This window comes from Homo sapiens, chromosome 4 (assembly GCF_000001405.40).
Source record: "Homo sapiens chromosome 4, GRCh38.p14 Primary Assembly".
NCBI classification, from domain to species: domain Eukaryota; kingdom Metazoa; phylum Chordata; class Mammalia; order Primates; family Hominidae; genus Homo; species Homo sapiens.
In genome coordinates, this window is record NC_000004.12 from 137,090,049 (window position 1) to 137,114,755 (window position 24,707).

At 33.7% G+C, this 24,707-nt stretch overlaps 1 long non-coding RNA gene across 1 annotated transcript in view; it reads right to left on the reverse strand.

The window, feature by feature from the left end:
- The window catches only part of LINC02511 (long intergenic non-protein coding RNA 2511), a 416,898-nt gene that overhangs the window by 294,147 nt on the left and 98,044 nt on the right, over positions 1 to 24,707 (reverse strand). The window lies entirely within an intron of this gene.

Sequence of the window (24,707 nt, forward strand, 5' to 3'; positions counted from 1 at the left end):
AGGAAATGGAACTATGTACAATACTTCGTTCTGAATCGAACAACAGTTACACAATCATCATAATAAACCAATTTTTAATTTTCAACTTTTAGGATCAAACTGTGCAGAAAGCAAAACACAGTTAACTATTTGTAACATAATAGGATATAAATATTATCAGTCTTAAAGTGAAAATTAATGTGAGGATAGAGGCACTAACATGCTTCTCTCACAAAATAGAAATTGGAAACATGATGTTTATAGTTGTTAAAATTTGGACATTTCAGTAGGTTTTCTAAAAAAGTAACAAGAAAAATTAATTGAAAGTTTTTAGGATATTAAAATTATCAAGAATTGGAATAAAGAAGGTGGGAGGGGAGTTGAGGGTAGAGAAATAAGTTAATAGCTCATCTATCACAAGCCAAGGACAATAGAAAAATATCTATAGTCGATGAATCAGAAAATAACAGTATAAACATATGTGTTAGCTATGTGAAGGCAAGCAACAGAACAGCTCTGAGCAGACATTAATACAGCCTCAGTGAGCAGAGCTGGGCATGCAGAAGGTTAGGGCAAACAATTGCTGAGTTTAACTCTATCAATAACATATAATTTATTTTTTAAGACTATGTATACCACTCTGAGGTTGTTTTTAAAAATTAAAAAAACAAATATATATGTCCTAAGTTTTAATGGTATTTTACTTATTGTGAGATAAGTTTTGACAAACATGGTGTTAAACTAATACTTCTAATAAGTTCAAACAAATGATGAATTGCATTCTTTATATTGCTATAAAAGGAATAATTGGAATTTTTTAAAAATACTTTTGTTAATACTTTAATATTTCAGGTATTATTTTATGCCATAAAATATCATTGTTCACTTTTGTGAAGTAAAAAATATATAACTATATTATAAATTCTACCTACAGATACTTTTCCTAGATTTTTCTCCTTTACTTTTTTCATTTGTGTACAATTAATAATTAACAACTTAGGTTTCTGAATTCTAAAAATTTGGAAAATAATAACATGATTAACAACGGGAGCTAGCATTATTAATTGAAGATGATGAGTCAGACACTGCGCTGACTGCTCTAAAGGCATTATCTCATTTATTAGTCACAATAGCCTTCTCACTTAGGAATTCTCGTGACCTCTGCTTTGAATACAGGGAAATAGAGGCTAAGGTGGCAAAGCATCTTGCTCCAGATTTCCTCTTTCATTTAGTCAATACATATTTATTAAAAATGCATCATTCAATAGGTTTGGTACACATCAATGGGGAAAAAAAACAGACAAAACAACATTTTCCCCTGATGGAACTTACATTTTAATGGGTGGTTATACCATTAACAAATAAATGAAATAAATAAATTGTGTAGTTTTCTACAAAATAATAAATATTATGAAGAAATGGATGTCATAAAACAGATTGGTACACAATAGCAATTTAAACTATGGTTGTCAAGATACGTCTCGTTAAGAAGGCAGAATCTGAGCAAAGATTGGAAGGTTGTGAAGACAATAGCTATGTGGATGTATGCATGGAGGTCACTGAAGGCAGGAGTAGCCAGTGGAAAACTTTAAGACAAGAGCATTAGGACATGTCCGGAGGAGAGAGTTTATAAAGAATAACAGATGTGGAGAAATAGGAACACTTTTACACAGTTGGTGGGACTGTAAACTAGTTCAACCATTGTTGAAGACAGTGTGGTGATTCCTCAAGGATCTAGAACTAGAAATACCATTTGACCCAGCCATCCCATTACTGGGTATATACCCAAAGGATTATAAATCATGCTGCTATAAAGACACATGCACACATATGTTTATTGCGGCACTATTCACAATAGCAAAGACTTGGAACCAACCTAAATGTCCATCAATGATAGACTGGATTAAGAAAATGTGGCACATATGCACCATGGAATACTATGCAGCCATAAAAAAGGATGAGTTCATGTCCTTTGTAGGGACATGGATGAAGCTGGAAACCATCATTCTGAGCAAACTATCTCAAGGACAGAAAACCAAACACCGCATGTTCTCACTCACAGGTGGGAACCGAACAACGAGAACACTTGGACACAGGGTGGGAAACAAACACATCGGGGCCTGTCGTGGGGTGGGGAGAGCGGGGAGAGATAGCATTAGGAGATATACCTAATGTAAATGATGAGTTAATGGGTGCAGCACACCAATATGGCACATGTATACATATGTAACAAACCTGTACGTTGTGTACATGTACCCTATAAAGTGTAATAATAATTAAAAAAAAGAATTTCAACTTTTACTAAAAGTGTAATAAGCTACTCATAATTCTCAAAATGTTATGAGAAATAAAACAGTGACTATGCCTGAGTGAATGAGGCAATTCTCAGCAAGAAAGTCACACTCCAGCTTAGACTGGAATTATTATTAAGAGCCCACTGCATGGTCTGGAGAGAGGAGTGTGAGCAAAGGAATGAGCAAATGACATGTTAAAGATACCAAGTCATGGCCGCATGTGGGTTGTGAGAGACCAAAGTTTCTGCACGAATGAAAATCAGAAGACTTGGATAAAACCAAACATTACAATTTAAATGCTATATAGAGATTTAGAAGTTTTTTTTTTTTTTAATGTAGGCTATTGCGTACCAGAGAACATTTTTAAACAGGTTGTTTAGGTGTCACTTCTTATTGTAACCTATTCTGTCAGGCAAAATTAATAACCTTCTATTCATTCACTTGTAGAAAGTGGTTCTTAAACTTGGAATCGAATGTGGTGTTTTTTTTCCCAAGAAGATTCCACTGGTGGTGCTGTGGAGGATATGCTCAGCAAACAAATTTTAAAAAATTTAAAAGCATGTACTGTTATAGGGTTTCAAGCTTAGTGCAATGGCAGCCCAGAGAAATGAAGCAATTGGTAATTATGATAGGTGGTTGGGGTGACATATAGGGGTTGGTCTTCCAAGGACAAAAGAATCACAGGGGTATTTAAGGGGAATACTTGCATACAGAAGACAAAATGAGGCTTAAAAACAAGGACTGGATGATGACTTGGTTAAAGTACAAAATTGTATGCAACCTAAAAACCTAGAACATATTTCACAAGCTACAAAACTATTTACCACATTTTGCTTGCATTTAACAGTTAATAAAGATGAGGCTTCCATCTGTGAGCACCTTTTCCAGTACTAAGATAAGCTTTTCTGATTCTCATCTGAAACGTTAGAATTTTGAATTTGGTAATATTTAATGTTTCTATCAGTTCTATAAGTCTACAAAATACCAAAGGTAAAATTGTATTTTTTTTTTTTTGCTAACCTCCAAATCACTTTCACCATTTAGACTAGTTATTTTTCTCTAATGTAGAATCTGACTTGTATTAGATGTCATTTAGTTCTATAAAGGCAACATGAAGGCTTTTATGATGATTTATGTAATCAAATAAATATTACAAATGCTAATTACCACAATTACTTTTATCTCCCTTAAAAATCAAATATTCAGATGACCTTTATGTTGCTTGTTAGATGTCCTCCCTCTTTTGTGAGCGTCACACAAAATTGCTTGTTCTCTGCGACAATTTCCTCTTCTGTCACTAACATAAGCAAAAGCTAATTTTCTCATAGACAGAGAAAAAAACTTATTTAAATACTATATTACTCAGTAAGAGGTAATGTAAAATTTTCAGCTCAAGGTATCTTGTATCATTATTGCCCCACTCTTGTGGATTTCTTTGAATAGAAAGATACTAAGTAGGCTTTCTACAGAGGAGAGTGTAATAAAATACCTAGTAATTCTTTTACAATTAGTGGAAAAACCAGAATAATAAAAATATATGAGTGTTAGTATATTTCCCTCCAAAGGACATACTCAGTGCCTGCTCAAATTTATATTTAGGATTGAGCAATTGTGTTACATATTTTTTCTGTATGTGAATTTTTTGGTGATGTCCACATAAGTGCTATTTATCCCAATCTTTCCCCATATGCTGGGAAAAAATTATTTTCTTAAAATGATCTTGCATATAACACTAATAGTTTACTTTTTACTTTTTAAAAAATAAATTATACAATTTGATATGTAATGAAGAAATAATATTGATTTCTAGTCTTCATGAAAGAGATCTAAAAAACTAATCTATTACTTCTATTAGTGAAATAAAACACTACATTTCAAAAAACTTAAACACAGTTTAAATCAACAATTTATTTTAAATTATTAAAATATTAAAAATATTTTAAATTATAAAATAACAAATCCTTATTTAAAATTCTGAGACTATGACATTTATCAAAAGCTGATGATCCCTCATATAGAATAAAACAAACATTATATTTTAGACTCCATGTGATTTAGAAAATACTAGGGTATTAAAAATAATTTATGAGTTTTGGTTTTCTTTCTTCCCCCAAAATATTAATTATATATTAGACATTGTTCAAGAGATTACTATAGATATAGATATATAGATTCATAAATACATAAGTAGAGTATGTTTCAGATTCACTCATTGAAAATACCTTTTCTGGGCCTACTCCATGGAGATGTAATAGTAAACGAGAGAAAAATTCTGCCCTCATGAAGTTCATGTTCTACTTCAGTAGACAAGCACAAATAAATGAATACATAAGCATGTCATTTTTTAGTAAGGGACATGAGGAAAAGAATAAAGCAGAATGGTGGGGAGTGATGGAGCTAGTGGACATTTTACATTATGAAGTTAGAGAAGGTGTTCCAGTAAGTGTTCATCAGAGAGACTTGGATAAAATGAGGAAGCAAGCTGTGCAGTAAAAGATTAATGGTGCCCAAAGAAAAGTGGCTCTTTGCTCCCACCCCTAGGAGGTAACCTCTAAGTCCTTGAAAAGTTCCATCTTATGAATGACTTTGTTTTCCTGAGGGCCTGGGACCATGCTAAATATTCTATATTAATGATGTGATTTATTATAGGGGGTCTTGGGCCACAGAGTAACAGCTCAACTTCTAAAGGGGCTGGAGTCTAAGGTCAGTAGTGTGAGTGTTCAGCCTTGTGTATCTGATGCATCCCCAATAAAATCTTTGGATATTAATGCTTAGTATAGCATTCTTATGTTGACAACATTTTATGCATATCATCAAGTGCTGTTTTAGGGAGAAATGAACACTGTCCACATGATACCACTATGAGGACAAATGAAAATTCTACCTTTGGTTATCCTAAATTCTGCCCTGTTTTTCTGTTGCTAGTTTTAATCAATATCCTTTCAGTGTAACAGTATGCATTCATGAGTATAATGGCTATTCTCAGCTCTATAAGTCTTTCTAATGAATTATGAAAACCTGAAGTAGTCTCAGGAACTTCCTGAAGTTTGTACAAGCCAGATGAAAGTCTCAATAAAGTTCACTATTAAAAGAGAAAGAGTAAGTACAAAGAACCTGGGGTAAAAATTAATTTGGCACCTTCAAGAAAGTAAAATGAAAACTATGACTACAGCAAAATTAGGAGTAGGAAGGAGAAAGCTAGAAAGTGACGACACCAACAGACTTACATAGGTCCATGATAAGGTATTTGGAAGTTGTTATGAATGTGAAGTGAAGCCATTTGAGAGTTTTGATCAAGAAAAAGACATAATCTGTATTTATTCTTTAAAGCACAAGTCTCACCTGCTTTGTAGAAAATTCACAAAATGGGAGAAATATTAGAAGTAAGGAGACCAGTTAGAGGCTGTTGCATTAAAGTGTGAGTAAAATGACGGTCTTGTGTACTTGGTGGTGGTAGGGGAGTGGAAGGGTTAAGATTGTGAAAAGTTGTCAGATTCATTACATATTTTGAGAATACAGATGGCACACCTTACTGATGGATGGGATGAGGGTAGAGATAGAAAGAGAGAGATCAAACAGGTACTCCAAGATTTTTGGCTTGAACAAGTAGGTATCTGGGGCTGCTAATTACTAAGATATGAACACTGAATGACCGAGATGTGAGGAAGATATCAGGTATGCTACTGTGGAAGAGTTTAAGTTTGAGCTAAGTACTGGATATTTGTGCAGAGATATTTAGTAGACACTTAAATATACGTATCCAGTGCTATGAGGTAATATCATAGATAAACATATATAATTGAGAATTATTAGAATTTAGATGGTATAGATTAGGATAAAGTATGAAACATGGGTCAAATCTATGCCACCACCTTTTTTTATGAATAAAGTTTTATTGAAACACAGTTATGCCTATTAGTTTCCCTATTGCCTATGGCTGCTTTCACACTACATTGACAAAGTTGCACAGTTGTGATTGAGACAGTGTGATCCAATAGCCTCATTATTTACCATTTGACAATAAAGTTTGCTTATTCCTGGTTAAGATATTATTTTAAATCATGAGACTTGATGGGATCACCTAAGACAGTAGTGCTTCTCCTAGAATCTTCTTTTTGTGCCTATGTATATGCTAAAGTATGTGGTTACACTGAAGATACAAATTTTAAAGCCATCAGTAATAAAAATATAGTGAATAATCAGTAACTTAGATCTAGATGAGATTGTCTATGAAATAAGAATAATTGAATAAAACAGTCAGCAACTGAGCCGTGGGAAATTCCAATATTTAGATCCTGGGATGAGGGCAATTCAAAAGGGAAGTACCTTAGATGTGTCAATAAAGGTAAGGTGAGAGCATGTGTCCTGAAAACAAAGTGAAGAAAGATAATTTAAAATTTCCTTATTGATTCTGCCAATGTCCTCTGATTTTATTGTGGTTCAATGTGATATGAGTATTGTGATTCACTAAGTAAACAAACCCATTAAGAGAATGGTAGCCTTGCTGAAAACAATCAAATGAATAACCCTCCTCCCCAGAAAAATAAATAAAAACAAACTCAACATAAATACGTTGATAAGGTTTGTGATTTGGAACTTTCTACATACATTATTTCACAAAGTTGTCTCTGAAAAAAGAATGTATTACTCCCCAATCAAATGAAGTTCAGCAGGGTCAATCTTATTGAAAATTGTAAGGCTCATAAAATTATATTTTTCTTTTGTTTTCATTCTTACTTCCCCCCAAAATGAATCATTTTCTCACATCATATATTCAATACTCTCTTTCTTTATTGATTATGTCTTCCTGGAATTTAATAGCTGATAAAAGTTCTTCTGGCCAGCTGATAAGTATACTGAGTGATATGGTTAAGTTTTGTGTACCCACCCAAATCTCATCTTGAATTTTAATCCCCATAATCCGCATGTGTCAAAGGAGAGACCAGGTGGAGGTAACTGAATCATGGGGGCAGTTTCCCCCATGCTGTTCTCATCATAATGAATGATTTCTCATGAGATCTGATGGTTTTACAAGGGGCTTTTCCCCCTTCTCTCAGCACTTCTTCCTGCCACCTTGTGAAGAAGGTGACTTGCTTCCTCTTCACCTTCTGCCATGACTGTAAGGTTCTTGATATCTCCCCAGCCATGCTAAATTGTGTCAGTTGATCCTCTTTCTTTTAAAAATTACCCAGTCTCAGGCAGTTCTTTATAGCAGTATAAAAACAGGCTAACATACTATGCCTAACAAAAGTGTAAACATCTCTCTTAGTTTATTCATTTATATATAATTACAAATCATATTAATTGCAAACTCTTTTTTTTATAGAAAAATTATATACAGAGAATGATTCTTAGAAAATGGCAGAGTAGGAAGTACCAGGAATCTTTCTTCATACCTAGATAACAATTGCACTGGGAGAACCATCTGATATAACTGTTTTGGAACTCTAGAGTCCATTGAAGGCTTGCAACATCTAAGGGAAGACCTGAAAGGTAAATAGCCATTAATTTCAGTCAATTTCAACTCTTATCACAGTATCAACTGTCAATCCTCTCCCACCCCAATGGCAAGCAGCAGTGCACATTGCAGGAGTGGCTTACACAAAGTTTTTGAGAGTCCAGGTTGGAAAAAGGACTCTGTCTTCCAAATACAAGGGATCTGTGTTCTAATCTTTGATTGATGCTTCTGATCATTAAGATGCAAACACAAAAGCAAGTGACTGTTGTTTTTGCACCTCTCGCCATTGTTGTGAGACCCTACCCCTCCCACTGAAGTGATTTTCAGGAGATTTCATAGGCCAGGGCCTTTTTAAAACTTTCACATATTTTTTCTCACTTAGTCACCAAACATTAAGGAACAACACTTTCAAAAACAAACACATACATGGAGGAAAACAGAAAGTTACTGTACATGCCCAAGGAAAGAAGCCACCTCAGAAAAGACCTGTAAAGAGTTTAAGGTTATAACTCAAGCTGATCCTCAATACGGAGGCAGCCTATAGTGATACAAACAAAAGGAGCAAACCCTAGAGAAAGGGAAGTCTCTGATTTTCAGAGTCATCATATTATTGAAATCAAATACTGTTTTCAATAACAACAAAACAAATCACAGATCACACAAAGAAACAGAAATGTATGGTCCATCCAAGGGAAAATACATTATAGCAACAAGAACTGCTCCTGCAAAATACCTGATGGAGAATCTACTAGCCAAAGTTTTTGAGCAACCCTTTTGAAGATGCTTAAAGAATTCAAGGAAGACATACAGAAAGCTAAAAATCAGCCTGAACAAAATAACAATATAAATAAAGAGATAAAACACCTAAAAATCAACCAAAAAGAAAATCTGGAGCTGAAAAGCACAATTACGGAAATGAAAAGTTTATTAGAGAAAGTTAAGGCAATTTTGAGCATCCTATATCTAGCAAACTGTCAATCAAAAATGAGGAAGAAATTAAGACATTCCCAGATAAACAAAACCTGAGGGAGATCATTCCCAATAAACCTGTTCTGCAATATGCTAAAGGGAATCTTGCAGATGAAATGAAAGGTCACTAGACAGTAACTTGAAGCTGAAATAACTAAATAAAGATTTCAATACAAGTAAATACATAGGCAATTATGAAAACTAGTATTATTATAACAATGCTCTGTAACTTCATGTTTGTTTTCTACACAATTTAAGAAGCTAATAACATCTAAACATATTAGTTTAGGTTTACGGACACACAATGTGTTAAGATGTAATATTTCAAAACAACAACTTAAAGGGCTGGGGATAAAGATATAAAGAAGCAAAGTTTTTATATCTTACTGAAGTTAAACTGGCATAAATTTAAATTAGAGCGTTTTAACTTTATTGTGTTAAAAGTACTCCCATGGTAACCACCAAGAAATAGCTAAAGAATATACACAAAAGAAAATAAGAAAATAATTTAAATCTTTTACTACAAACCAACAACACAAAAGAAGATATTAATGCAGGAAATGAAAGACAAAAATGTTATAAAACATATGAAAACAAATAACAGAGTGACAGAGTCCCTTCTTATCACCTACTACTTTAAGCATAAATAGATTGAACTCTCCAATCAAAAGACAAAAACTTCAGAATGAATTTAAAAACAACCATGATCCATCTATTTGCCATCCACAAGATATTTTAGATCTAAAGACATGTGCAGGTTGAAAGTGAATGGGTGGAAAAGAATATTGCATATCAATAGTAATCAAAAGAGCATATAGGTGGCTATATTACTATCAGACAAAATAAGCTTTAAATTGAAACAGCTTACAAGAGCTAGAGAATACTATATATTAAAAGTTTCAATACAATAATAAGATACGAGAATTATAAACATGTACACACCTAATCACAGACCAAAACATATAAAACAAAAATGGACAGAATTGAAGGAAGAAATAGGAAGTTCTACAACAATGCTTGGAGACTTCAAAATTCTACCTTCACTAATGATAGACCAGACAGGAGATAAGTAAAGAAAAAAAGGCTTTAATAATGCAATAAACCCTCTAGATCCAACAGACATATACAGAACACTTTGCCTAACAATAACGGAATACACATATTCTTCTCAAGTGAATATGGGACATATTCCAGGATAGACCATATTATGATATGAGCCACAAATTAAGTCCCAATAGCCTTCAAAAATAGATACGGTACAAAGTATCTGCTCTGACTATATAACTAAACGAAGTTAGAAACCAGTAACAGAAGGAAAACTGGAAAATGCACAAACAAATTTGTTTAAGTTAAGCAGCACATTCTTTTTTTTTTTTTTTTTTTAGACGGAGTCTCATTCTGTCGCCAGGCTGTAGTGCAGTGGCGATCTTGGCTCACTGCAACCTCCGACTCCTGGGTTCAAACGATTCTCCTGCCTCAGCCTTCCAAGTAGCTGGGATTACAGGCGTGTGCCACTACACCAAGATAATTTTTGTAAGTTTAGTAGAGATGGGGTTTCACCGTGTTGGCCAGGATGTTCTGGATCTCCTGACCTCGTGATCCGCCCGCCTCGGCCTCCCAAATTTCTGGGATTACAGGCGTAAGCCACCGCGCCCGGCCATTAAGCAGCACATTCTTAAACAACCAGTAGATAAAATAAAAAATCACAAGGGGATTTAGAAAATACCTTTAGACAAATAAAAATGAAAACTCAACATACGAAAACTTACGGTGTTTGTCAAAACCAGTTCTAGCAGGGAAATTTACATCTATAAACAAACAACCCCATTAAAAAGTGGGCAAAATATATGTACAGACACTTTTTTAAAAAAGACATACATGCGACCAACAAGCACATGGAAAAAAACCCTGCAACTGTTGGTGGAAGTGTAAATTAGTTCAACCATTGTGGAAAACAGTGTGATGATTCCTCAAAGACCTAAAAACAGAACTGTCATTCATCCCAGAAATCCCATTACTGGGTATATACCCAAAGAAATATAAATCATTCTATCATAAAGGCGCATGCATGTGAACAGCATTATTAACAAGAACAAAGACATAGAATAAATCTAGTTGTCCATCAATGGATGAATGGATAAAGAAAATGTACATATACATCAAGGAATACCACGAAACCATAAAAAAGGGCAAGATCGTGTTCTTTGCAGGAGCGTGGATGGAGCTGGAGGCCATTATCCTTAGCAAACTAATGCAGGAATAGAAAACCCAATGCCACATGTTCTCACGTATAAGTGGGAGCTAAATGATGAGAACACATGGACACACAGAGAGGAACAACACTTGCTTGGGCCTATTTATGGGTGGAGAGTGAGAGGAAGGAGAGAATCAGAAAAAATAACTAATGGGTACTAGGTTTAATACTTGGATAATGAAATAATCTGTGCAACAAATCCCCATGACACAAGTTTACCTATGGAACAAACCTGCACATGTACTCCTGAACCTAAAATAACAGTTAAAAACATTAAAACATTTAAAAAGCAGAAAGATCTCAAGTGAACAATCTATCTTTACAACTTCAAGAACTAAAAAAAGAACAAACTAAATACAAAATTACAGAAGGAATGAAGTAATAAAGATTAGAGCATATATAATGAAATAACAGGAAAAAAAATAGAGAAAATCAATTAAACCAAAACTTAGTTCTTTGGAAAGAAGTATAAAGTTACAAACCTTTAGATAGACTAAGAAACAAAATAAAGATTCAAATTACTAAAGTCACAAATGAAAGTGAGGACAATACTTCCAGTATTATGATTACAAGAGGGTACTATAAAAATTATGTGCCAACAAGTTTGTTAACCTAGATCGACTGGATAAACTCCAAGAAATAGAAAATCTACCAAGATTAAATATTAAAAAAATCAAAACTCTAAATAGACCTATAAATAAAAAATCTCCTGAAACAGAAAAAAAAAAACACCATCTGATGATTTCACCAATACATTCTATCAATATCAAACATAAAAAAAAAAACCTAACACCAATCATTCTAGAACTTTCTGAAAAAATTAAAGGAGGGAATATTTTCTAAATTATTCTTTGAGGCCAGCATTGCCCTAATACCAAAGATGGACAAAGACAGTACAAGAAAAGAAAAATCAATATCATTTCTCAACATTAATACTAAACTCTTCAAAAAATATTAGTAAACCAAATTTAGCAGCATATTAAAATAATTATACACCACAAAGTGGGATTTATTTCTGGAATTTAAGAATGGTTTCAGATATAAAAATGGATTAATATAATATATCACATTAATAGAATAAAGGAAAAAATAGAATAATTGCAATTGAGGAAATACATTTGTCAAAATTCAATATCTTTTCATAATAAAAAACACTTAGCAAACTAGGAATAGAAGAAAACTACATCAACATTTAAAAAGTTATATTTTGAGGTGGGTGGATCACCTGAGGTCAGGAGTTGGAAACCAGCCTAACCAACGTGGGTGAAACCTCATCTCTACTAAAAATACAAAAATTAGCTGGGTGTGGTGGCGCACGCCTGTTATTCCAGCTACTCAGGAGGCTGAGGCAGGAGAATCGCTTGACTTCGGGAGGCAGAGGTTGTAGTGAGCTGAGACAGCGTCACTGCACTCCAGCCTGGGTGACAGAGCGAGACTCTGTTTCAAAACAAACAAACAAACAACCTGCAGTGAACATGATATTCAGTGATGAAAGATAGAAACCTTTTTCTCTAAAATCAGGAACAAGGCAAGTGTACCCATTTGGCCACTCCTATTCAACAACATACTGGAAATTCTAGCCAGAATTTAATGAAATAAAATGCATGTAAATGGGGAAAGAAGTAAAATATCTGTTTGCAGATGACATGTTCTTATATGTAGAAAACCCTAAAGACTCTACAAAACAGCCTGTTAGAACTAATAAATGAATTAAATAAAGCAGCGGGACACGGGTGAGTATACAAAAATTAGTTGCATTTCTATATAATAAAAATGAACAATCAAAATATGAAATTAAGGAAACAATTCCACTTATAATAGCATCAAAAAGAATGAAATAATAAGGAATTAACTTAATCAAGGAAATAAAAGACTTGTACAATTAAAACTATAACACGTTGCTGAAAGAAATTAAAGATATAAATAAATGGATGGGAAGACATTCCATATTTATGTATTGGAAGGCTTAATATAATATTAAGATGTCAATACTACAAAAACCCATCTATAGATTCAATATACCTGCTATCAAAAACTCAGTGACATTTTTGTAGGAATACAAAAACTTTTCCTAAAGTTCATATAAACTCTCAAGGGACCCCAAGTGGCCAAAACAATCTTTAAAAGTAAATACAAAGTTGGAGGACTCACACTTCCAGATTTCAAACTTCACCACAAAGCCACAATAATCAAAATAGTGTGGTACCAGCATAATGACAGACATATAGATCAATGGAATTGGAGAGATTCCAGAAATAAACTCACATATTTGATGAAATAATGTTGACAAGGATGCCCAAACTATTGAATAAAGAAAGGACAGTATTTTCAACAAATGGTGCTATGAAACTAGATACACACATGCAAAGGAATTAAGTTGGGTCCGTTCCTAATGCCATGTACAAAATTAACTCAGAATGGGTCAGAGATGTAAACATAGGTTCTAAACCTCTAAAGCTCTTAGAAGAAAATATAGGGGAAAAGCTTCACAGGCTGGATTTGACAATATCTTGGACATGACACCAAAGGCAAAAGCAACAGAGGGTAAAATAGACAAATTGGGCTTTATGACAATTAAAACTTTTGTGCCTCAATGAACACTAACAACAGAGTAAAATCCAACCTACAGAATGGGAAAAAATACTCAAAATCACATATCTGATAAGGTATTAATATCCGAATAGGTAGACAAATCCCAAAACTCAACAACAAAAAGCAATCTGATTCAAATGAGGGAAAATTACTGGAATAGACAGTTCTCAAAGAAGATATATGAATGGCCAATAAGCACAGGCAAAAAGATACTAAACATTATTAATCACTAGGGACATGCAAATCAAAACTGCAATGAGATACCACCTCACACCCATTAAAATACTGCTATTTAAACAGCAGGAACGTCTTGGCAAGGATGTGGAGAAATTAGAACACTTGAGTACTGTTAGTGAGAATTGAAAACTGACCAGCACTGTGGAAAATAGTACGAAGTTTCCTCAAAAACTTAAAAATACAATTACAATGTGATCCAGCGATTCTACCTGTGGATATATACCCAAATAATTAAAAATGAAGTCTCAAAGAGATATTTGTATAACTATGTTTGTAGCAGCATTACCCACAATAGCTAAAATGTGGAGGCCACAGATGAATGAGTAAACAAAATGTGGTATATACAAACAAAAAAAAATTATTCAACCTTAAAAAAGGCAATTTTACATATCCTACAGCATGGATGAACCTTGAGAACATTATACTAAGTGAAGTAAGCCAGTCACAAAAATATACTGTGTAATTGTACTTATATGAGGGATGTACAGTAGACAAACCATAGAGACATAAGGTAGAATGGTGCTTGCCAGGGACTGGAGAAAGAGAAGAATGGGAAATTATTATTTAATAGATACAGAGTTCCAGTTATGCAAAATGAAAAAGCATTCTGCAGTTGGATGGTAGTGATGGCTGCATAACAATACGAATGTATTTAATGTCACTGAACAGTACACTTAAAAAGGTTAAGATGGTAAATTTTATGTGTATTTTTCCACAATAAAAATAATTTTTAAAATTATATATATAGATTTATATATAAATATAGAAATTTATATATATATCTTCTGAAAAATTATGGAGATAAGGACTTTGGGGTATATAGTAGTCAATGATGTATCTAACATCACCATTATTAATAGTTATTCTTTAGATTTCTACTTACTGTTGGAATAGAGAAAACGACTTTAATAAAAGTATAATTCTATTCACTCCATGTCTTAGATTGCCTGAGATATTTGGTTATTTTCTAACCTTAATTTTATAGGCTATTAGACAAGCTATGAATAATATTCTTTGATAGTGGTAGTCACCATGACTGCCATGACTGAAAGATGGATTCACTTACATATAAATAAAAAGGAATAAATGTGTAAAACTGTTACAGACAAACAAAATACTTGATAACTTCTTGCAATGCGCAGTGTTTAAGAGAGAAAAATCACTGTGATGTATGGCTATTATGTATAAAAATTATAGCAAAGATTATATGTGTGTGTATAGGAGTTATTAGTGTAAGTACCCTAACAATGTGAATTACATTTTCAATTAAACAGAATTAAAGCATTTGTATATTAGTTTCCTTTTTTGAGGTCTGAACAGATTTTTCTGAAATTGTATTGGCAAAGTTTAAATATACATGGCATAAAAAGTGAGTTATGTTTCTTCAATCCAGTGTTCTCAAAATATGGTCCCTGGACTGGTAGCATGAGCATCACCAAGAAACATGATTGAGAAACCGGAAAAGAGGGGTCAGCAATGTGCTTTTTAACCAGGCCTTCTAGGTGATCATGATGCACCTTTGAAAACTATGGTCTTATCTTATTCAATGGAGACAAATGAAGAGTTAAAGTTTGAGTTGAAGAGTTAGATAGAAGGATGTGTTTTGTGGGATCTTTGCAAACCAGAGCAATAACATTTCTCTGGAAAATGACTCTGCTTTTCAACTATATTGAGGAACATTGAGTTTGGTTCAAGAACCAGAAGAACATAAAGTCTGTAAGTTTTATCTTCCATGGAAACACACTTTGTATTAGTATACATTCCTGCAGAAAGATAGTGTAGACTAAGTATAAAGGACAATGGCATCACAAGAGTTAATCTTAACTCTGCATAAAATCTCACCATTAGTTGAGCATTCTCACAAGAAATCTGGGGGCAAAGGAAAAGACCCCTAACCATTTTCTGTTTTTCAGCCCTTCTTCTGTGCACCCTCTTTCTGCCAATAAATGCTTTATCTGTTTAGCTAAATAAATCTAAGTCTTATAGCTGTTCATGGCTTCCTCCTCCCACTTCATGACCATCAAGAACACTGCAAAATGTCACTGATGAATTTGGGTAATTTCATAGACCAATGAACAATTTGCGATCTTAATGATTTAAACTTTCTATCCTTCAACTTTATCTGAAATTGAGAATAATTCCGTTTTGTTATATGCTATCATCATATTACAGACCCACATCTATTATTTCTTATCCTTTTGTAGAATTACAATGTTCTCTTACATGAACATAGAATATATGGTAGTAACATTAAGACTGATGGTTAATTTGGTCTTTTGAGAAAGCATTAATTTATACACAATTTTCACATCAAAATAGTAAAAATTCAGTAAAAAATATGATTAAGTTAATGTTTAAAAACACTATTAAAATGAAAACTGATAATAGTTTTGTACCACTTATGTTTATGTCTAATCTTTTTTGTAATTAATGACAGACTAGAACACATCAAATGTTCTGAGTGAGAAATAACTATGTTGATAAGGCCAGAAATACATTTCATTCCTTTAATATACTGGAAACTTTAAGTTTCTAAATACAAAAAAAAAAAAAAGAAAAGAAAAACACTAGTTGGAGTGTATTATAGAATGCGGCCAAAGCAAATAGTCAAGTACTCCCCCAAGTCCAGTTGTTTTATGCCATTGCTGTGAATTGTGACATTCCATTTTACTCTTATCTTGTAGATTCCCCTGGTATTTAGCAGTGGAGGTAATTTTCCATCTCTGTAGTTAGTTTATAAGCTTCTCTTGCCACTTCCAAAATTGCACTATTTCGTCTGTCACAAACAGCTGGGCTGAGTAAGAAAATAATACTGGTCGATTAAAAAAATGCAATCTAGAAATGTGAACTATTTGATTACACTAAAATAGAAAGTTTAAACTAATCATTTGCTAATCTTCTCACATCTTCTTTGAAACAGCTTTTGATGAAAAGGTTAGCAGAAACATCAATTTTGCGGGTTCTGAACGGTTGGTTTGCTGGGAAAACATACACAGTATTTTCTAAATGTGTTGTTAAGTAAACTACGGTTGATTTCAGTGAAATTATTTTGGTTTACAAGAGGGATTCTACATAAATACTCACAAACTGAGCGCCATTCCTTTCAACATCAAACTATATTTGAGTTAGTTTAGTGTTAGTCATATAAAAAATGTAAACAAAACAATTCTAAAATTACTAAATTTGGATCTAAAAATGTAAAATGTTCTTGTGTATCTAAATTGCTCATTGCCTTATGTTACTAAGGAAGAACTGTTGAAAAACTCATTTCTTATAATGAGTTTCTTAGGATCAAGTGTAAATTAAAATGCACAAGAGATATACTGCTTATGCTCTTTTAGTTGTGAAGTTAGCTTCCCCACATACTGTCTGCCAGGCTTTGAAAAGCAGAGGTTCCTACTTTAAACTTTATGTTAACCACTGCCAAATATAAGAGTGGCATATGTCTCTCAAAGCACTGAATAATATGAATAAAAGTGAAATACAAACCACATAGGAAGAAATAGAAAAAAAGGGAAATACAAATAAGAAAAATACAAATATGAAGTCAGTAATACCAAACATGTAAATTACAGCTGTAAACATAAAGGATTTCAGCTCCCCTATTAAAAGAGCACTATTAAATTGAATGTTGTAAAGGTCTAAATATACACTATGCACAAAATAAACACCTAAGAGAAAAGAATAGAGATGTATAAAAATAAAAGAATAAACAGCAAAAGAAAAATAAAGTAGAAGTAGCAAAATATATCTCAGGAAAGTACAATTTAAGATAAAATTAGGCATGGTGGCTCACACCTGTAATCCCAGCACTTTGGGAGGCCAAAGCAGGTAAAACACTTGAGTTCAGGAGTTTGAGAGCAGTCTGGTCAACATGGAAAGACCCTGTCTCTGCAAAAAACTACAAAAATTACCCAGGTGTGGTGGTGTGTGCCTGTAGTCCCAGCTACTGGGGAGGCTGAAGCACGAGAATTGCTTGAACCTGGGAGGTGGAGGTTGCAGTGAGCCGAGATCGGGCCACTGCATTCCAGCCTGGGTGACAGAGCGAGACTCTGTCTCAGAAAAAAAAAAAAAAAAAGATAAAAGATAAAATCACCCAAGAGAGTAAGTAAAGCTGGTTATTTAATAATGGTAAAATTTACAACACTGAATAGTACATGTTATTCATAAACTTATAGAGGTCAAATAATATATAACCTCCAAATATATGGAGCAATGTTTGAATTAAGTAATAGGATTTGTTGCAAGTTTTTTTTTTTCCCCAGTGGGGAGCAGATTCTGAAATAATTTAATGTTCAGAATACTTACTGAGGGTCCTCGGAGGGGAGGGAGGAGAGGGAGGATTGAGCAAAAAAGTCAAGTTAGATTCAGGCCTCAAAACTTCAGTCAACATTACAGGAATTTGTAGAGCTGGAATGGTATCTCAGAGTTGTTGATCTCGAGTTAGATTTTATATCACCACTTGGACCAGTTACTGGATGTGAGCTACTACCTAAGATCATGACTGGACAAAGCAGCCATCCACATCTGAGGCAATTCTGAAGGGGCTGTAGCTAAAGCCTTTTTGCCAACAGCACTCCCTGCATCTGAGGGAACAAGCCATACTGGGTGAAATCAAAGCACGTGTAAAGGACGACTGACACCCAGACCATGGTTTATTCAATAAATCATTTTATTTTGCACATATTTTATCTGCATAGTTTCATGTTTTCTTCAACTATTTTCTCAGAATTGAATAATGCCAATACCTTCAGTTATATTTATATAGATAAATTAAATTTTCACACCGTTGAGAGAATTTTGAACTTTATATTCTCTAGATGTGGAGTGCAAAGGTTCAATACATACTGAAGCAAATTGGTGTCCACTGAATAGTGTATGCCTATATAATTCCTTAAATATCCCCAAAGATGTGTATTTTTTAAAATGTTCACTAGATTTATTACTTAGTTAACATTTACTGAAGTATAGAATGCAAAGTAAAAGAAACAGGGTTAATTTGAATACATCACAATTGAGTAGTGTTTGAATTAAGGAAAAGATATTCTGAAATTTAGTGCCATCTTTTTTTTGCCCAGTCAATACGGAGGTATATATTTTGGAGAAACAAAATAAATGCAAACACCAAACATCGTTGCTAAATATTTCAAATGAGAAAAGTACTGGAAAGTTTAAGCTTTATAGGTAATGCAATGGCTTCTCTAAGTGTTGTTAAATACCTATTATTACAGAAACACAATCCTGGCTTCCCATACCTGCAGATTACAGGACCCCATGCTTCTGGTCAGCTTCTCCGGCCTACAAGATGAACTGGCAGTGGGGCTGCAGACACCAGTACTCACAAACACACCCCTCACCCTTGGGGATGAGCTCCCTCCTGAGACATGTGATTAATACCCTTCTCCAGGAAAGTGTTCACGGGACCCTAAAAGCCAAGGATGGAGAACCAGTGACTTTTAAGTCTGTGGCAATAGACACCACACAGAAAGACCGGGCCTTGCTAGAAAACCATAAAAAGAGGCCTCAGTGGATAAAGTCACAATTGCCCATCTCCTGGAGTTGTGATTTATGCTTTGTGGCAGGGTTGTTGTCTTCTGAACAGTAGTTCAATTAATATATCTTCACCCATAGAAAGATACCAAATTTTTCCTCGCAGTTGGGATGATGAGAACAGCATTTAGAAAGAAGAAGCAGGTTGCCAGGCACAGTGGCTCATGCCTGTAATCCCAGCACTTTGGGAGGCCAAGGTGGGCGGATCATCTGAGGTCAGGAGCTCTGAGACCAGCAAGGCCAACATGGCGAAATTCCGTCTCTACCAAAAATACAAAAATTAGCCGGTTGTGGTAATGAGCACCTGTAATCTCAGCAATTCGGGAGGCTGAGGCAGGAGAATCGCTTGAACCCAGGAGGTTGCTTTGAGCTGAGATCATGCCAATGCACTCCAGCCTGGGCGTCAGAGCGAGACTGTCTCTAAAAAAAAAAAAAGAAAAGAAAAGAAAAAAGAAAGAAAGAAGCAGGTTAATAATTCTTCAGTTCACTTAACCCTTTGAAGAATTGAAATACAAGGAAGATAGGCAATTTAGCAACAACAGGATTAAACAAAAAGAAATAAAAGGAAACCAAAAAGGCAATAATAATTTCTTGGTAGATTAAAATTATTATTTACTGTAATTATCATAATAAATTCTTATTAAATTAATTCTTTAAAGTGTGCTAAAGATCCACTACACTGAAAACTACAGAATTTTTCTGAGAGAATCCAAGTGAGATCTACAGGCATGGAGAACAAGAACTATGTTAAGGAATTGCAGAACCTAAGATTTTAAAATATCAATTATCCTAAATTGAACTACACGCTTAAAATAATCCCAATCAAAGTTCCAACTGGTATTTGTGTAGAAATCAATAAGGATAATAAAAATTATATAAAAATGCAAAGACACATATAAAGATAGAAAAAAAGAAAAGAATAGCATCCAGAATAGATGTTCATGTACAGAATCACTAATTTATAACAAAGATCCCTATGCAATTCAATGTGGAAAGAAAATCTGGGAGACACTGGATATGCATTTAGAAAAAAAAATGAATTTTAGCTCTCCCACATACCATATCCTGAAATTAATTCAAGATGGATTTTACACTAATATGTGAAAGATAAGACCACAGAGTCTATAGAAGAAAACATTGGAGATTATTTTATAAGTAGTTCTTAAACTAGATTCAAAAAGCACTAAACATATGTGAAAAAATTCATCAGACTTCATCAATACTCAAAATTGTGGCTTAGCAAAAGACATTGCTAAGTAAATGAAAAGGCAGGTTAAGTCAGGCTGAGACTGACTAAGAACTCAGATCTATACTATATAAAGGACTTTAACAAATTAATCAGCAAGCACATAAACAAGCTGGTCAAATGCTTGAGCTGACACTTCATCCAAATGTCACAAGAGAAACGTCAATTAAAACCATGAGACACCATTACAACCCATGAATTGCAAACTTTTTTAAAGTTCTATTTTGTTTTTAATTGACATAGAAGTATACATTTTTGGGGGACGGTGTGATGTTTCCATATATGTATGCATTGTGTAATAATCAAATCGGGTAATTAGCATATACATAATATCAAACCTTTATTATTTCTTTGAGAACATTCAAAATCTTCTCTTTGGGTTATTTGAAATATGCAATACATTATTTTTACCTATAGTCACCTCATAGAGCAATAAAACACCAGAACTTACTCTTTGTATGTAACTGTATCTTCATTCCTGTTGACCAGCCAGTGGTAACCACTATTCTACTCTCTACGTTACATGATTAACTTTTTAATATTTCACATGAATGAGATCAAGTGGTATTTGCCTTCTGTGTTGGTTTATTTCACTGAACAATGTCCTCTAGCTTCATCCATGTTGCATCAAATGACAGGATTTCATTCTTTTTTATGGCTGAATACTATTCCTTTGTGCATATATATAGAAATCTATTTATCCATTAATGGACAGTTAGGTAGATTCCTTATCTTGGTTTTGTGAACAGTGCTGCAATAAACGTTGGAGTACACATATCTCCTCAACATACTGATTCCCTTTTCATTGGGCATATACCCAGTAGTGGGATTATTGGCTCATGTTACAGTTTTGTTTTTAATTTGTTGAGAAACCTCAATGCTGTTGTCCATAATGGCTGTACATTCCCACCAACAGTGTATAAGAATTCCCCTTTATCCACATCCTTGCCAAGATTTGTTATATTTCATCTTTTTGATGATAGCCATTCTAACTGGGATGAGGTAATATCTCCCTATAGTTTTGATTTGTATTTTCCTGATGATTAGGGATTTTGAGTATGTTTAACACACCTATTGGCCATTTGTATGTCTTTGGTTGAGAAATATCTTTTAAGATATTTAGCCCATTTTAAAATTAGATTACTTTTTTTTTTTTTTTGCTATTGAGTTGCTAGAGTTTCTTATATATTCTGGATATTAACCCCTTATCAGGTACATTGTTTGCAAATATTTTCTCTCATTCTCTAGGTTGCTTTTTCACCCTGTTGAATGATTCCTTTGCTGTGCAGAGGTTTTTTTGTTCAATGTAATCCCATTGGTCTATTTTTGCTTTGCTACCTAAGCTTTTGAGGTCTTATCAAAAAAAAATTTGCCCACACCAATGTCATGAAGTGTTTCTCTTATGTTTTCTTCTAGTAGTTTCATAAATTGGGGTTTTATATTTAAGTCTTTAATCAATTTTGAGTGGATTTTTGTATATGGTGAGAGACAGGGGTCTAGCTTCATTCTGCATGTGGATATCAGGTTTTCCCAGCACCATTTAATGAAGAGACTATCCTTTCTCCAATGTGTGTTTTCGGCAGCCTTCTTGAAAATCAATTGATTGTTAATGCATGAACTTATTTCTAGGTTTTCTAGTCTGTTCCGTTGGTCTTTGTATCTGTCTTTATGCCAGCACCAGGCTGTTTTGGTTACTATAGCTTTGCAGAATATTTTGAAGTAATGTAGTATCATGCCTCTAGCTTTGTTCTTTTTTCCCTTTTTTTTTTTTTTTTTTTTTTTTGAGAGGAAGTCTCACTCTTGCCCTTGCCCAGGCTGGAGTGCAGAGGCATAATCCGAGCTAACTGCAACCTCCGCCTCCCAGGTTCAAGTGATTCTCCTGGCTCTGCCTCCTGAGCAGCTGGGATTATAGGCATGCAAAACCACACCCAACTAACTTTTGTATTTTTAGTAGAGATGGAGACGGGGTATTGACTTGTTGGCCAGGCTGGTCTCAGCTTCCCAAAGTGCTGGGATTACTGGTGTGAGCCACCACACCCTGCCTAGCTTTGGTCTTTTTGCTCAAGATTGCTTTGAGTATTCCAGGTTTTTTGTGGTCCCATACAAATATTAAGATCTTTTTTTTTTCTATTTCTGTGAAGACTGTCATTAGTATTTTAATAGGGATTTCATTGACTCTGCAGATCCTTTTGGATAGTATGGATATTTTAACATTAATTCTGCCAATCAATGAACACAGGATTTCTTTTTATTTGATTCTGTCCTTTTCTGTTTCTTTCATCAGTGTTTTACATTTTTCATTGAAGATGTATTTTGTCTCCTTGGTTAAATTTATTCCTAGGTACTTTTTAATTTTTGTAGCTATTTTAAATGGAATTACTTTTATTGATTTTTTTCAGATAGTTTACTTGGCGTATAAAAATGCTACTTTTTTATATGTTGATTTTTTGTCCTGCAACTTTATGAAATTTATTAGTTTTAATAGTTTTAGTGGAATTTTTAGGGTTTTCTATATATAACATCATGTTGTCTGCAAGTAGGAAACATTTTACTTTCTCTTCCAGTTTATGTGCTCTTTATTTCTTTATCTTGCCTAATTGCTCTGGCTAGGACTTACACTACTATATAGAATAGAAGTAGTAAAAGTGAGAACCCTTGTCTATTTTCAGATCTTAGTGGAAAAGCTTTCTACTTCTCCCCATTCAGTAGGATGTTAGCTGGGGTATGTCACGTACGGCCTTTGTTGTGTTGAGGTTTGTTCTTTCTATACCTAATTTGTTCAGAGTTTTACCATAAAAGGGTGCTGAATTTTGTTAAATGATTTTTACCACGTTTGAAATGATTATATAAGTTTTGTCCTTGATTCTATTAATGTGACATCATGTTTATTGATTTGGGTATGCTGAGTTATTCTTACATCCCTGAGATTAATTCCACTTGATTATGTTGAAAGATCTTTTGAATGTGTTGTTGAATTTGGTTTGTTAGCATTTTGTTGAGGATTTTTGCATCTATGTTCATCAGGAGTATTGGCCTGTAGTTTCCATTTTGTTGTGCTTTTCTCTGTTTCTTGTATTAGAGTAATTAATGATGGCCTCAAGCGATTAGTTGGGAAGAATTCCCTCCATTTCAGTTTTTTGGGACAGTTTGAAAAAAATTAGTATTTGCCATCAGGTTTTGGGCTTTTCTTTGATAGGAGACTTTGTTACTGATTCAGTCTCATTACTTACTATTGATTTGTTTACCTTTTTTTATTTCTGTGTAATTCAATCTTAGTAGATTGTCTGTGCCCAGAAATTTATCCATTTCTTCAAGATTTTTTCAATTTATTGGCATATAGTTTTACATAACTGTCTTGTAAGATCCTTTATATGTCTGAGGCATCAGTTGCAATGCCTCCTTTACATCTCTGATTTTATTTTTTGAGTTACTTCTTCTTATTCACAGTCTAGTTAAAGGTTTGATTATTTTGTTTATATTTTCAAAAAACCAAGTCTTTGTTTTATTGATCTTTTCTATTTCATGTAGTCTGTATTTTATTTCTTTTCTCAATTCTCATTTACTTTAAAAATTTTTTAAATTATTTTTTAACCCATTGGTTGTTCAGAAGCATGTTGTTTAATTTTCATGTATTTATGTAGTTTCCAAAGTTCCCCTTATTATAGATATCTAATTTTATTCCATTGTAGTCTAAAAGATACTTGGTATCATTTTAATTTTTTAAAATGTGTTGAGACTTTTTTTGTAGACAGATATGTGATATATCCTGGAGAATGCTTCATATCTGTGGGATGGAATGTTCTGTAAATTTCTGTTAGGTCAATTTGGTCTAGAGTGTGGTTTAACTTCAGTGTTTCTCTGGTAATTTTCTGACTGAATAATCTCTCCATTGCTGAAAGTAAGGTATTGAGGTTCCCCATTATTATTGTATTGCAGTCTATCACACCTTTTAGCTGTATTAATATTTGCCTTATATATTTGGATGTTTCAATGTTAGATGTATATATATTTATAATTGTTACATCATCTTGATGTTTCCATTCATTTAATACTATATAATAGCCTTCTTTTTAGCTTTCTAAAATATTTGGCTTAAAGTGTATTTTGTGTAGGTACAGCTATTTCTGC